This window comes from Homo sapiens, chromosome 2, assembly GCF_000001405.40.
Source record: "Homo sapiens chromosome 2, GRCh38.p14 Primary Assembly".
NCBI lineage: Eukaryota > Metazoa > Chordata > Mammalia > Primates > Hominidae > Homo > Homo sapiens.
Genome location: NC_000002.12, coordinates 148,536,003 through 148,550,873, shown reverse-complemented (window position 1 = coordinate 148,550,873; position 14,871 = coordinate 148,536,003). Strand labels below are relative to the sequence as shown.

Sequence of the window (14,871 nt, the reverse complement as noted above, 5' to 3'; positions counted from 1 at the left end):
GACTGAATCTGAAAGAAATCATTTTAAAATTCTTTAACCTATACTGCCTTAGCTGTTCTAAATTTAGAGCACCTCAATGTGGGCCACGCTTCACCCTTGACAGAAATATACATAAGACAGGGAAAGACGGCACGCCCTGAGGATGGAAGATGCCTTGATGAATCATTAAAGAAGCCCCCAGAAACCAATTGATCGATCTCCCCTCTTTTTTTTTTTTTTTTTTTGAGACGGAGTCTCGCTCTGTCGCCCAGGCCGGACTGCGGACTGCAGTGGCGCAATCTCGGCTCACCGCAAGCTCCGCTTCCCGGGTTCACGCCATTCTCCTGCCTCAGCCTCCCGAGTAGCTGGGACTACAGGCGCCCGCCACCGCGCCCGGCTAATTTTTTGTATTTTTAGTAGAGACGGGGTTTCACCTTGTTAGCCAGGATGGTCTCGATCTCCTGACCTCATGATCCACCCGCCTCGGCCTCCCAAAGTGCTTCTCCCCTCTTTTGGTCCAAGGAAGTTTTTACACCCCAGAGTAAGGCTTCATGTTGCGATCACGATGGGTGAGCGGGGCATGGGAAGTTCCATGAGACGATTTTAGAAATCGGTGCTTTGGATATTAAGACTGTGGACGTGGATTTCCTCTAAATCACTCATGGATATTTTTCCTCCTGAAAGGTCTGTACACCCTCAGGTGTACTTGACCCAAGTTTGAAGACCGCTGCTATGAGAAGGTGAAAGCTGGGCTTAGCACTCATTTGCCTACCACTGCTGGCTTTAACTGAGACCCATCACAGAGGAAAGATAAGGGACAGTCCCCGGGGTCCCCTCCAGCTGAGGCAGGGTAGCCCTGTCAGTGTCCCTACCTCAGGCCTCTGGCCTGCGCTCCAAGACTCACTCAGCTGGAATTTTTAAGCCTGTTCCAAGTGGAAAGAGGCAAACCCAGGCCTGCCTTCTTCCAGGGCTCAAGGATGAGCAAGGCAAGACTTAGTGCCTTTTTCCCAGTAAAGTCTGCTCCATCACCCCTTCCTCATGTCATGCCCTCCTCCCCGGGCCTGCAGTTACTTCAGATGGAATGCAGAATAGAGGTGCGTTTGGAGAATTGCAGTTCACTAGCATGGGGGCACAGGGCTGTGAGGGGCTGACTCAGTGATGGTAGCCTGAGTAACCTAGGACTAATTAGAGTGTCGCCCTCAGGGCCATCATGTCTGAACTAGGGGTTGCTCCTAAGATGAAAATTGCATGAGGTCCAAATTTCTGGAGGCCAAGGCAGGCGGATCACGAGGTCAAGAGATTGAGACCATCCTGGCCAACATGGTGAAACCAGTCTTTACTAAAAATACAAAAATTAGCTGGGCGTGGTGGCACGCACCTGTAGTCCCAGCTACTTGGGAAGCTGAGGCAGGAGAATCGCTTGAACCCAGGAGGTGGAGGTTGCAGTAAGCCAAGATCGCGCCACCTTACTGCAGCCTGGCAACAGAGCAAGACTCCTTCTCAAAAAACAAAACAAAACAAGCAACAAAAAAACACCTGAATTCAGCCCACAGGGTTGGTATTTGTGTGCCACATTGGAGACCAAGGCACCATCTGTCAAAATGTCCGACACAGAGTCCACTTTTTTCTTCTGGCTGAGTGAGGATAGATCACCGCTTTGGTCAAGCACCGGATGTGTAGTTGGCTTGCATCTAAGAGCCATATTGTATAAAAAATGTATTGTTGTTAAGCCCAAGAATCATATTAGTATGTGGAGTGCTCACACTGAGAGGCTGGCGGGAATTGGGCCCTGAAGGTGGCAAAGAGCCCTATCTCCCATGACTTCCTTGCCTGGGGCAAAAGATCACTGATGGACTGACGGGGACAGATGGGCCAAAATCATTCCCATTGCTGCTCTGTGACAGATTCCACACTAAGCAGTCTACGCACATCTTTCAGACAGAAGTTAGCACAAAAGCCCCTCTATCTCACCTCACTCCCCATTTAGATGCATTTGGCCCACTTCCTAACACAAGAGGGCCCTGAGACTGCCAAGAAGTGGCAAACGTCCCAGCCATTAAACATCTAATGATCAAGTGAGCATCTAAATGGTGCTTGTCCTGGGAGAAGGCTGAAGGGACCCAGAGATACACAGCAGCTGAACCAGTTGAGTTGAAAATGAAGATGGATGAGTTAAATGTGACATAATGAAGGCACTTCGTTGGACAAGATCCTGATGATCTTCAGGAGAAGAAGCTTAAGCCAGCAACGCATTTTCTCTAATTTTCTGCCATGGGGTAACTTTTAAAACATCAATTAATAACTTCTACAGCATGTTATCATTTGCCTACAATTCTCATTATAAAGAAAAGCAATTGCCTACCATGAACACCGTTGGTTTAAAAGTCTTGAAGGCTTGTATCCACATATTCCATCATGTTAACCTTGGTGGTAAATGCTCATCTCTTCTTAGAAATTGATTCCATATTAACACTGTCAGAAGATAATTCACACGCTGTCTCTTCTCTTCCCCCATCCCACTCCCTTCATTAAATGTTCACTGCGCATTTCCCAATAGGCAAGCACTCAGTAGGGTCCCTATGGGTCAGCCACCTGAATAGCCCCCCAGCCTGCAGATGCCAGTGGAGAAGCAAAGACACACCAGCCAGAGAGCAAGTGAGAGGCCCCTCTACCAGCCCATGGATAATGTCAGCTCCTCAGGGGGATTGTATTTCTGGTCCAACACTGCCAATGACTGCATTCTGTTATTTTTTAATAATAACTTGGCTGATGCTATATTATTTCTGCCTTTATATTTTATTTGAAGTTACCAAAACGATCAGGATGTTATTCATCCAAATAGAAAAAAGGCCAATGCTTCCCTCTTTAACTCAGAAAGCAGCCCTTCTGCATCTCTTGGCATCAAGGACACATTTGTTCCTGGGTGGGAAGGTCCAGATACCATCCACCTTGGCATTGTCTGTCCTGGAGCTATTTGTTTGCTCATGTACAGCCAGGGGCTGACTGTCTTCTAAACTTATCCCCACACCCATGTCTTTGCTGTCCTCCCATGAAATGCCTGCCACTCAAGAAGCTGCCCTTGAAGAAAGGGGGCTTCTAGGGAGGGAGCTTCTAGGGAGGTGGCTTCTAGGGAGGGGGATTCTAGAGAGGGGGATTCTAGGGCCACTCTCCCTTCAAGGGCTACTTCTGGGTCTCTTGACATCTACCCACCATGCCCTCCACAGTACTGACGTCTTCTTTCTCTGAATTCCAGTGGCCCACTGCCCAGTTCCATGGCACTGATTTCTGCCTTAGAGTTGCTAATGTGTGTCTACGGATGAGTCTTGGCCATACCTTGCAGTAGCAGGAGCCTCATAAATGGTAAAGCTTCACTGTGAGTGCAGCACTCAGGCCCAGAGTGTGAGGGAGAGCACTTCAGCCTCCAAACATGCAGCACATGAACCCCACGCCCCGCCCCACCTCCGCCTCCCAAGGCTCATGTTCAGCCTCCTTGTTCGGGTCTGGAACCATCAGATGCATTGGTTGTGCTGGCTAGGGTCGACCTTGGAGACGCCAGGCCGGAGTGCTGGATGGCAACCACCTGGGTGGGCTCACCTGGTTGTGCCAAGTTGAGAGCGAAGGATTTGATGTCCTCTAGCAGCAGAGAAATGGCGATCACAAGATGGAAAAGAACCCAGGGAGGCCTTGCGTTCACTATAGCTCTCACTTGGATTCATTAGACAAATGAAAAATTAGCTTTTTTTCATTCTCTGTCACTTGGCCACTGTATTCACTGTTTCCAGTCCTGCCACTCCCTCTCTTGCCCCTGCCAGCATGGAGGAGTTTTAGCTCCTCCATGTAGGCAGTCATTCATTTATTCAGCTGCCTGTGTCCTCACATGGCTGTCTTCTTAGAAGGACACTAGTAGCATTGGATCAGGGGCCCACCGTACTCCAGTACAACTTCTTAACTATGTCTGCAAGTTTACAAATAACACCACACTTTGAGGTACCAGGGATTAGGATGTCAACATATCTTTTTAAGGGGATGTCATTCAACTATAACATCACTGGATCTGGGAGAAATTGGGGTTAGGGCTAAAGATGGGTATGCCCTCTGAGCTATTAGTGCAACAGCAAGGAGATCCAGGGATAGCCACAAAATCCCTTGAGAGTGGAAATATTTTCAGAAAACAGACAAACAATAAGGGCACAGGTTAGGAAGAAAATAAGAGCAAAGAGTGAGGAAGTAGCGCAAGAATGAGGAGATGGGAGGTTGAGGGAAGGAGGGGTGCACCTGAGCCCAGGAAGACTCATGGGCAGTGAGGAACATGGGGGAGGAGGGCTGGGAGCACCTTCTGGAGGGCAGGAAACCACAGACTCTGTGTAGGAAATCTGGTTATTGTGGGTAACTATTTAGGAGTTCATTAAGCAACTTCCTGCCTGAGGCTGGAAGGGCAGTGGGTGTTCTGCTCAGCCAGCTGATGGTCTTGCTTCATGTGGCTTAGAAGTGGATGAGCACATGGGAGAAGCCAGGGTTATGGCATTTGGAGCCATATCCCTGAGCTGTGGTCCCAAGTCCAGGCTAACAGACACCCCAGCAAGGGGACTGGTAGAACTGCCTGGGGGGTGTGGAGCTGCTTCCTGTGGGAGCTGAGCCCAGGCCCTGGCTAGATACTGCCCACTCATACACCCTAAGGAAAGCAGGTACAGCTCCAAGCTCCCTCGGATCCAGAAGGAAACACCATTCCCGGCAGCCATCTATAGTATAATCCCCAAGATCATCCTACCGATCTCTGTCCCCAGGGGACTCTGCTGTGGGTCCAGCAGAGAATGAATGGGTTGGAGTGGGTAGAGCAGGTTGCTCTGTCTGGGGCTCTAGGGAACCATGTGTCTCCTCCTTCCAGGCACAGTGCTGGGCACTGGCATAAATCCTTGTTCCACACTGGCCCGTTCTTCAGGGTCATCCCTCAGCAAATTTGGAAAGGAGGTGAAGGTTCCCCCACACGCCTGGTCCCCCAGCATTCTAGGGTAGCACACTAGACTTCCAGGTCCTGGCCATGGGTCTCCACAGCTCTGAACCTCTCATGTCCCCAGCAGTGTCAAGTGCCTTGCCTTGGGTTCTATTTTATTTCTTAATAGATGACAACTATTGAACTTGATAAGCCAATCAGAACAATGTTGGAAAACACCTATCATGTTACTAGATTGTTGTTCTCAATGGACTCCTTTAGTCAGAGATGTTGGTTGCCAACTGCAGGAAGTGACTAGGCAATTTAAGCAGAAATGTCACTTACTGGAAGGACAGGCAGCTCACAGCATGGACGGATGGGAAGGAACCACGTTGCTGTGGAAGCAGACAAGGCCAGGCTGAGCAGAGGTGGCTCCTGGGGGACCATCATCTTGGTGCCACCCTGGTGGCTCTGGACACTCAACACAACTGCCCTGGACTGGCCTTGGCAGAGGCACCCGTGGGTCATCTTCAGTGGCCCCAGGCCTTTGTGTCACTCCTTCAAGCTTGATGATTCGGGCTGCGGCACTTGATTGCAAGCCCCAGACCCAGCGTCCCTCTCTAGCTGCCTGGAATGGGAAAAGACCATGCATCCATTTGTTTCTGTAGTGAGGGAGGAGCCCTTTCTCCCCCACTGCCCCATCCCCACCACCTATTCTAGGATTTCTCCAAAATAGGACGAGTGTTCAATGTCGGCATCCCGAAAGAACAACTATCCAGTAAAGTAATATGTGTGTACATTCATAAGGGGGGCCTCCCACAACTCCCTAACTCAAAAGAGTGACTCTCATGGGGATTTCAGGCACCAAGACAGATGGACAGGGGAGACTTGCCTAATGTCATAGGCAGAAGCCCTGTGAGTAGAAGCTTACGTCTTCTGATTACAGATCCCAGTGCTGTGACCACACTGGCCGAATTAAGCACAGAGCTGATGCTCAAACCACATTTGCTAAATGAATGAATGAATTTTTGGGTCTTCCACTGCGTGATGATCTGCCTCAAATACATCAAGAAAAAAGGCAGGATAAAATGATCAATTAAAATAAATCTAATGGCCTTGGGGTAAGCTATCAAACCTTTTTGGATCTCTATTTCCTTATTTTGAAAGATAAGGACAAGACTGATCTCTAAGAACTTACCCTTGAATGCATTGCAGAAAGAAATTTTGTCACATATAAGAAAGTTGGAAATTTGAACACTGACTACATAATTTGAAGATGTTAAGAAATTACTTTTAATTAGTTTTGATTAATCACTTTTTAGGTGAGCTATGATTTTGTCTTAAAAAGAGTCTTTGTCTTTTAAAGTTACATGCTGAAATAATTTGTCTTTTAAAGTTACATGCATGAAATAAAGTTACATGCTGAAATGATATGATGTCTGGGATGTTTGTTTTGTTTTGAGACAGAGTCTTACTCTGACACCCAGGCTGGAGTGCAGTGGTACGATCTTGGCTCACTATAGCCTGGACCTCCTAGAGTCAAGCAGCAAACCTCTCACCTCAGCCTCCAAAGTAGCTGGGACTACAGGTGTGTGTCACCATGCCCAGCCAATTTTTGTTTGTTTGTAGACATGGGGTTTTGCCATGTTGCCCAGGCTGGGCTTGAACTCCTGGGCTCAAGAAATCTGCCTGCCTTGGCCTCCCGAAGTTCTGGGATTATAGGCCTGAGCCACTGTGCCTGGCTGATATCTGAGATTTTAATACATTGGAGAGGAACGTGGGCAGGAAAATTGATTTAAAAAATAGGCTCTGAGTTGATAATTATTGAGACTGGATTATGTGTACAGGATGATCTGTTATGCTATTTTGTCCACTTTTTATATGTTTGAAAATTTCCATGATAAAGTGTTTAAAAAGTAAATAAAACAATATTTTTCTGTAGCCCTGTAGTGTCCATCACAGTCAGAGCTTGTACTGGGCCCTGGGATGGTCACCCAGAATCTCTTGCTCCTTTGCTGTTTCCTAAAATAACCGCTTGATTTCATGCAGGTGTCATCTCCTCACACACAGCCCTGTGTCTCAAGGGAAGGTGACCCATTCCCACCTCCAGCCCTGATTAGTCTCAGCCCATCAGAGTGAGCCCAACCTTCCTGCCGATGATTAGTTCTAGAAGGACGCGGCATAGAAGGAGAGGTTTGGTGGGTCTCTGAGAACTGTTCTCCCTACTCTCCTACTCAGCTAGACAGGAGGGAGAAAGGAGGTGGCCTCAGGTACCACCAGCAACCATGCTGCAACCTGGAAGAAAACCAGCTTCAGGATGAAGCCAATGTGCTAAGCAGCAGAGCAGAAAGCTGGGAGAAGCCCAAGTCCTCGGCAGCAGTGTTGAGCTGACAGATCAAACAACCCTGAAGGCCACCTTATCGCTCAATTCCCCTCAAGGATAAATTTTCATCCTTTTTTCTTTCTTTCTTTTTTTTTTTTTTTGAGGCAGAGTCTCACTCTGTTGCCCAGGCTAGAGTGCAGTGGTACAATCTCGGCTCACTGCAACCTCCACCTCCCGGATTCAAGCGATTCTCCTGTCTCAGTCTCCCGAGTAGCTGGGACTACAGGCTCCCAACACCACGCCTGGCTAATTTTTGTATTTTTCATAGAGATGGGTTTTATCATTTTGGCCAGGCTGATCTCAAACTCCTGACCTCAAGTGATAAGCCCAACTCAGCCTCCTATGTCATAAATTTTCATATCCTTCAAGCCACTGTGTTTTTTACAACAAAGAGATAAATCTTTGTAAGTAACCAAGACTCTTCTAACAAACCCAAGGCTGAGTGAGCATTCTCCCTAACTGGTGGAATGAGCTATTAAACCTTTTTGGATCTCCGTTTCCTTATTTTGAGAGAAAAGGGAGGGGACCCCGGATCCTGCAGTCACCCGTGTTGTTTGGAATGCAGGAGGCAGGCAGTGGTACGAGGGGTCTCTCAGAAGGTGGAAACATTGGCATACCCTGGCACCATTTCGACCCAGACAGTTTTTCCTAATGTCACACCATCCTGCTTTGAATGACATTAACTTGAAGTTCCGGACACAAGATTAAGTGTCACCTTCCAAGGGGCTGATAGGAAACTTGTGCCCGGCCTTTGCTGCTGTGGATTGCTGTGAGAATGAGACAAAGGAGGGAACCCTCTTAGAGGCCTAGCAGGCACCTCGCCATCGCCAAAAAACATGGAAACAAAGGAAACTCCTGGGTTTCCTCAAGGGGAATTCTAGGCACCTAGCTGGCCCTGAGAAGTAAGTAAGCAACTTGATAAGCAAGAAGGTAAATAGTAGGTTAAAAGAACAGCCAAGGAGCTAGAATCATGGGATGTTTGGTTCCCTCTAGAAATTAAAGAACGCATCTTAACACGTGCCCCCGAGTGGTTGTTTAGACACCCAGTCTCCTGCAGACTTTGTTTAGACACCCAGTCTCCTGCAGACTTTGCATCCACTGGCACAAAGACCTCAGATAAGGGGGAACTGAGGACTGAACTCTGACTACTGTCAATTTCTTCCTCAGGGCCCTGGAGGAGGTCACAACCCTAGGCCAGAACTAACACTCTTTCCTACTGATCCCAAGTTTATTTTATTATTTTATTTTTTTATCTTAGATAGAGTCTCACTCTATCGTCCAGGCTGGAGGGCAGTGGTGATCATAGCTCACTGCAGCCTCCAATTCCTGAGTTCAAGCAATCCTCCTGCCTCAACCTCCTGAGAGCTGTGATTATGAGTGTGAGCCGTTGCACCAATTTATATATGTATGTGTGTGTGTGTGTGTGTGTAGACAGGGTCTTGCTTTGTTGCCCAGGCTGCTGAGCTCAAATTTTTAGACAAAGCTTTGCCTCCTGAACCACTTGCAGATCAGAAAATCTTTGAATCCACCTCTGACCCTCTTTGAGATGTCAAGCCTTTTTAGGTCAAATCAGTGTATAACCTCCATGCACTGATTTATGACTTTGCCTGTAACCTCTGCCTCTTCGCTTTTAAAAACCCTTACCTGTAAGCCATCAGGGAGTTCAGGGAGTTAGCTGCCCAATTCTCCTTGTTTGGCGCCCTGCAATAAATGCCTCACTTTCTCTTGCTGCAATCCTGATACCAGTGTTTGGCTTTGCTGCAGCGGGTAAATGAACCCCAGTTTAGTTCAATAACAAATACCTATGGCACCCTTTCCCTGACAGAATATTCATAACAGAAATGACGCAAATCTATTTTTATTATCATGAGATGCTGAGAAAGGGCATTAGCAGGAGTAGGAGGCTATACTAAGGCTTGGCTGTCGGACCAGGAGTTCCCGTGGCAGGGGAGGGCGTGCAGCCTGCAAAGGGCTCTGGCTTGTCCCCCATATTAGAGATGGAGTTGCTGGTCTTCCGCCTCCTCCAAGTCTCATGCTTAAGTGGACTTGAAATCCAGCGGATGGTATCATTGAACTGAGCCGCAGCAAGGCTGAAATTTAGGGGTCATTCATAAAGCAGAGAGCTCTCCTTTGGTTTCCAGTAAGAGCTGGTGTTGAGCATTTCAGGATGCAATTTATAACCTGGGGAAACCTGAGAGCAGGGGTTGTCCTGGACTCTCCTCTCTCTCATGCCCACTGCAGGCAGCCAAGCCCCAACTTTTCACTATATTAGCTCCTCAGTCTCTGATGAATTGTCCTGTCCTTCCCACCATCGCTGCCACCACCCAGGTGCAAATCATCAGTATCTCTCATCCGGACAATTGAAATATTTCCTAATGGTCTCTGAATTGATTGCTGCTGCTTGCCTACTCAGTTCTTTCCACAAAAGCCAGAACGATCCTTCAAAAATGCAAATCTCATAATGTCTTTTCCTTTCCTGGAAGCTGCCAGTTACTTCCCACTGCCCACAGTGTTCTCCACGCCGATGCCCACATTCCTCCCATCACCATTAGATGCCTGGGACATTTGACTCCAAGCCACACACCCCATTCTCCCACCTCAGGCTTTCCACCTAGGCTGATGCCTCGGTTTGGAGCTGTTAGCTCTCCACTTGCCCCTTCATTCCACAGTCCCAACTCCTTTATGTTCTATCTTACATATCACCTCTTGGAGGAGAAGTTTTCTTCCTCTGTCTCCCACTTCCAGCTAAGTCCCATCCTCTTTACATGCACCCACTGTATCTTGCCTGTCTCCTTCAAATATTCAATGTAATGGAAACTTTCTTCCTCATTCAATTAAAAGGGTAGAGATTTTGTTCACGGTGCTCCACACTCCATCCCAAGCAGCTGTCACAGTGCCTGGCACACAATCAATGATTAGGAAATAAATATCGGCTGGCTGCCTATCAGGTGTGGCCCCAACTACCCCCTCGAGACTCTCTTTGGCCTCTTAATTAAGCATCTACGGAGCTTCACACCTACAAAGTTCCTGCTGGCGGGGACAGAATATGGAAAGAAATGGATGTAGACAGAGTCCGGTTTGGAACCTGGAAGCAAGGCTGTTGCCTTCCAGAGAGAAAATGTCTCGGTTAGAATTCTGGACATTCTCCACACAAGCAGACTTTTTTCTTACTCTTTGTTCTAAAATGTTGGTGTCACTCAAAGATACAGACTACAGACTTCAAACAGAAAGCGTAGGCTGAGAGGAAGAAAGGCCGGAGCCATTTCCTGTTCCCCCTGCACTGCACGCCAGGGGAGAGGGCGTCCTTGTCCCCTTCCTGCCTCCTCAGTAGTATGTGGAAGCCTTGGAGGTTCCCAAGTCAGTGTCTCTCCTGGGCTGCAGAAAGAGGTCTGGTGGGAGAAACCACAGCTGGGATGCCGGGGGTGGGGTGAGGTTCCCATGAGGGCCCATGCGTGGGAGCCACTGGTTTCTTCCCTTGGAAGGACATGGGCACTTGGAGTAGCTCACCTTCCTGAAGGGAGATGTGGCCGTGGGGGAAGGCAGCTTCTCCTCCATGGACGGCTGTCGGCCTCCTTCTCAGGGTAAGGGGAGCTTCATTTCCACTCCCTTTCTTCAGAGTCAACCACAGACACCTGAAGCTCATTTCCATGTGCCTCTCTGGAAAAATCAGAGTTGCTTTATCCTGCAGTTCCGTGTGGAAGAGCTGAGAGTGTTCTGCCAGGAAATGCAGTCGCCGGGCACAGTGGCTCATGCCTGTAATCCCAGCACTTTGGGAGGCTGAGGGGGGCAGATCACCTGAGCATTTTCAGAGGCCAAGGCGGGTGGATCATGAGATCAGGAGTTCGAGACCAGCCTGGCCAACATGGTGAAACCCCATCTCTACTAAAAATACAAAAATTAGCTGGGTGTGGTGGCGGACACCTATAATCCCAGCTACTAGGGAGGCTGAGGCAGGAGAATTGCTTGAATCTGGGAGGCAAAGGTTGCAGTGAGCCGAGTTCGCACCACTGCACTCCAGCTGGGTGACAGAGCGAAACTCTGTCTCAAAGCAAAAAAAAAAAAAAAAGAGAGAGAGAGAGAGCACAGTGGCCAGCATCTGGCCCTAGCCAGGATGGCTGAGAAATCAAGGCGTCCTACAGATGGGCCTGGTTACAGGGGCTCTGGGGGCCCTGCCATATCGGAGATGGGTGGGGGAGCAGGTGGTAAGCGTGGGACAGTGTCAGCTGGTGCAGTGTGGCGGAGTTCAGCAGCCTAGGTTTGGACGTAGCCATGTGACTTTGAGCTCTTCCTCTTCAAGGCCGACTGTTCTTTGGTGTAATAATATGGAGCTGGTTGTGTGTACCTGGAGAGAATCGTCTGTGGATTTCTGAGCTCGAAAGCTGCCTGGACGGATTCAAGAGGTGACGTGCACAGCTATGTCTTGGGGGCTGAGCCCAAGGGGCCTGACCGGTGCCTTCTGCGCTGCCATGCTGCCCTCATAGTGGCTTCTGGGACACCGTCAGCCCTGTGCTCCCCAGAGCCTGCATCAGAACTTCTCGAACTTTTCTGCTGAAGTGTCCCTAAGAAGAGCAAATGCCTGCCCCTGAGCCATAGATAGGAAATTTCTTTTAAGTCCCTTGTTCTATCTTAAAAATTCATGTGAATTGTGCATCTTACTCCATAATCTATTCATGCTTGTTTTAATATAAATATATTCTTTTCCTCAAATATTCAAATAGAATATACAGTTCTAGGAAGTTGCTGGGAGAAGGGGACTGGGTGTTGAGGAAAAGGAGGGAGAACTTGGCCTCTCACATCTGAAACCTTGTTTAATTCTCTCCCCATAACCCTATGAGGTAGAGGCTTTTTTTTTTTTTAGAGGAAATATCTTTCTGTGAAAGAACTAAAACATTACAGGTTTAAAAAAGCTGAATGTGAACATCCTCTATAATCTAACTCCCTAAAGAAGCCCCTGGTAAACAGTATCTGTGGTATCTTCATTTCCATCAGCCCTGCTGAGTGTGGAACATCCCTGCCCCCCAGAGTCTGTGACTTGTGTCTTGGTTGCACTGTGACTTGCCCTGTGCACAGAGAACAGACTCCTGCCTATTTCCCATTTTGTTCATCAGATGTAAGCTTTGGCCTGATGTCAGCTCCATCAGAAACCAAAGGAAGTGCCAGGAGGGACACTAACTTCGTAAGGCCCTACCCTGATCTTACTTTCTAAGTTCCTGAGGTCATGGCTGAATCTGACAGTTTCCCAGCATGGAGCTGCCATGAGCTGGTAGCCAGGTGCTCAGGGATCTGTTTTCATGAAGAGAGGAGCCCATGCAGACTTCCATTCAGAGCCTAATGAGGAGGAGGGAAGGAGGTGGACATGATGGTGTTTGTCCCCCTGCTGTGGGTAAGAGGTGGGATTAAAAAGAAGCTACAGACAGAAGGTCAATGAGCTCCCTGCCACAGGGACTTTGGAGACCCGGTCCAGAGGTTGGAATTCAACACAGCGTTGGGGTGAAGGTCTTTCTCCCACATTTGCAGGTAAGTAGGAGCTCAAGAAGATGGCCACGCTCCCAGAGATTCTGGCCAAAATGCTCATGAGTGGCTTCATGGGCAGCGATCAGTGAGGGGTCCAGGCAGAAGATCCTGAGAGGGAAGCTGGTTTTTTACACAGGGGAGACCCCAGCAATACTAGTGGGGGGTGGGGGGGAAGGGGTCAGAGACAATGACCCAATATAATTTAATGTTAATAGTTATGTGGCCTAACAAACATCCACATCTGGGGAAGGCTTAGGGAAATTCAGCTTAGAGGAAAATTCCATCAACCAAGCATTTCATCATGTGATCCCTTTTGCCCATGGATGGTTCTAAAAACAAAAACAAACAAAAAACAAAAAACAAACTGAAACGTACATATTGAATGAATTTGCCCCTTCAAAACAGTATCTCAGGAGGTTACCCATGCATTCCAACAATGCTCATGATACTTTCAGAAATTATCTTTGAAAACTGACTTCAGAGCCATTCCGTGAGTCATACTTTGGAGTCAGCTGGTTTGATCGCCCAATTTATTCTTCAGCTTTGCCTTTGAATAATTTTTGTTTGGTTCCAAAGATAAAAATCGTTTGTCAAATAATTATGCTTGTCCACCAAGCCTCCTCCTCTGTAGACTGTAAATTTCTTGAACCAACGGAGCATGCCTGGTTCATCTTTGGCCATCCAAGCCCTGGCCAGGCACTTCAAAAATGCCTGATCCACATTTCTTCTGAGGCTGTTCACTCTACTCCATAGGGCTGTTCCCAACACTGTTAGGTTCTACAGATAGCAGACCCCCAAAATCAAAACATCGGCCTTCTCTTCCCAGGTAGCTTTTTGGGATTAAACAGTTATCCCTGAAAAGGAAGGGTTATTCTAAATCTGCACCCACCCTAGCCCATGGTAGAAATACCTTCTGGAATAAGCATCAACAATTTAGCCTTTTTCTGTTGGTTAAGGTCACAGGGAACAGTCTGTGAACATTTTTCTCTATGTTGCTTTTCTTTTCAGGGGTGTAGAATAAAGATGAAAAAGCACAGCTCTGGGAGCACACAGAACAGAAAGCTGACACTCGCGGGATTGATTATGCATTCACTTATTTATTACAATTTTTAAAAATGGCCCAGCTGCTTCAGCTTACACAAGCTGGGCTGAAATATTTCACTCGATAGTATTCTCATCTGGTGGTTATAATACTGAGTGAATTAATGCAAGGGGTTTTTTTAACCCTAAAAGAAGAAAATCAAAATTAAGTAAAAAATAATGTTAGTGCCTAAAACTGGGATTCAAACATTCAAGTGTTTCCAAGGAATACCCATTGTTGGCCTTCCCTTCCCGACGCGTTGGTCCGTAGCAGCCCCCGTCCCTAGGGGTGCATATGGGACCCCCTTCACCTGTGAGGTTTTCCGGTTGCTCGCATGTGTCCCTCATGGGATCCAGAAGGCCTAGGCTCACACCTCTTCACGTGTATCCTATAAAACGCTCCCAGGAGATCCCTAGCCTCTGGCTGAGAATATGTGATCTGTAACCACGTGATCACTGCTGCCATGTGGTTTCGCTCCTGTTAGCATCACGTCCCTCATACATTATGTTTTGATCAAATGATGGAATAGTCTGATGCCAACTGTCTTAGACTGGAGGAATGTGTTGGCTCACGTAACTGGAGATCCAGAAGTAGGTTTGGCACAAGACGTTGTTTTGTTCAGCTACTCAAAAGGTGTCAAGAACGGGCTCCTCTCCTCTCAGCGTGGCCCTTCTCGGGTTGGTTATTTACCTCAGACAAGCTCCTTGTGAAGGCAGGAGGGCTGCTAGCTGCTCTGGCCTTATAACCTCCGAGTCCATCAGAAACTTAGCCTCCATTTCTCAGCTGTTTAAATGACGTTGTGTGATCTGACTCTTGGGTCCTAGTCGGGTTCCAAGTGCCCATTTCATTGGTACCAGGTGGGTTTCATTTTTGAACACAGAAGTCACTCTAGATATTGAGAGCAGACCAGGATTTAACACAGGTACTGGATGCTTGCAGAATTGTTGGATGGTCTGAAGGAGTGAGTTCCAGGTGGAATCTTCA

General features: G+C 47.8%; 1 annotated feature.

Moving 5' to 3' along the window:
* Positions 7,873–8,066: a silencer, noted in NCBI's record as "fragment chr2:149300377-149300570 (GRCh37/hg19 assembly coordinates)". NCBI's record gives its function as "represses an EF-1alpha promoter that drives an FKBP-Casp9 reporter gene in an ReSE screen in phorbol 12-myristate 13-acetate-treated (for megakaryocytic differentiation) K562 erythroleukemia cells {active_cell/tissue: K562(+PMA)}" and the evidence as "EXISTENCE:reporter gene assay evidence [ECO:0000049][PMID:32094911]".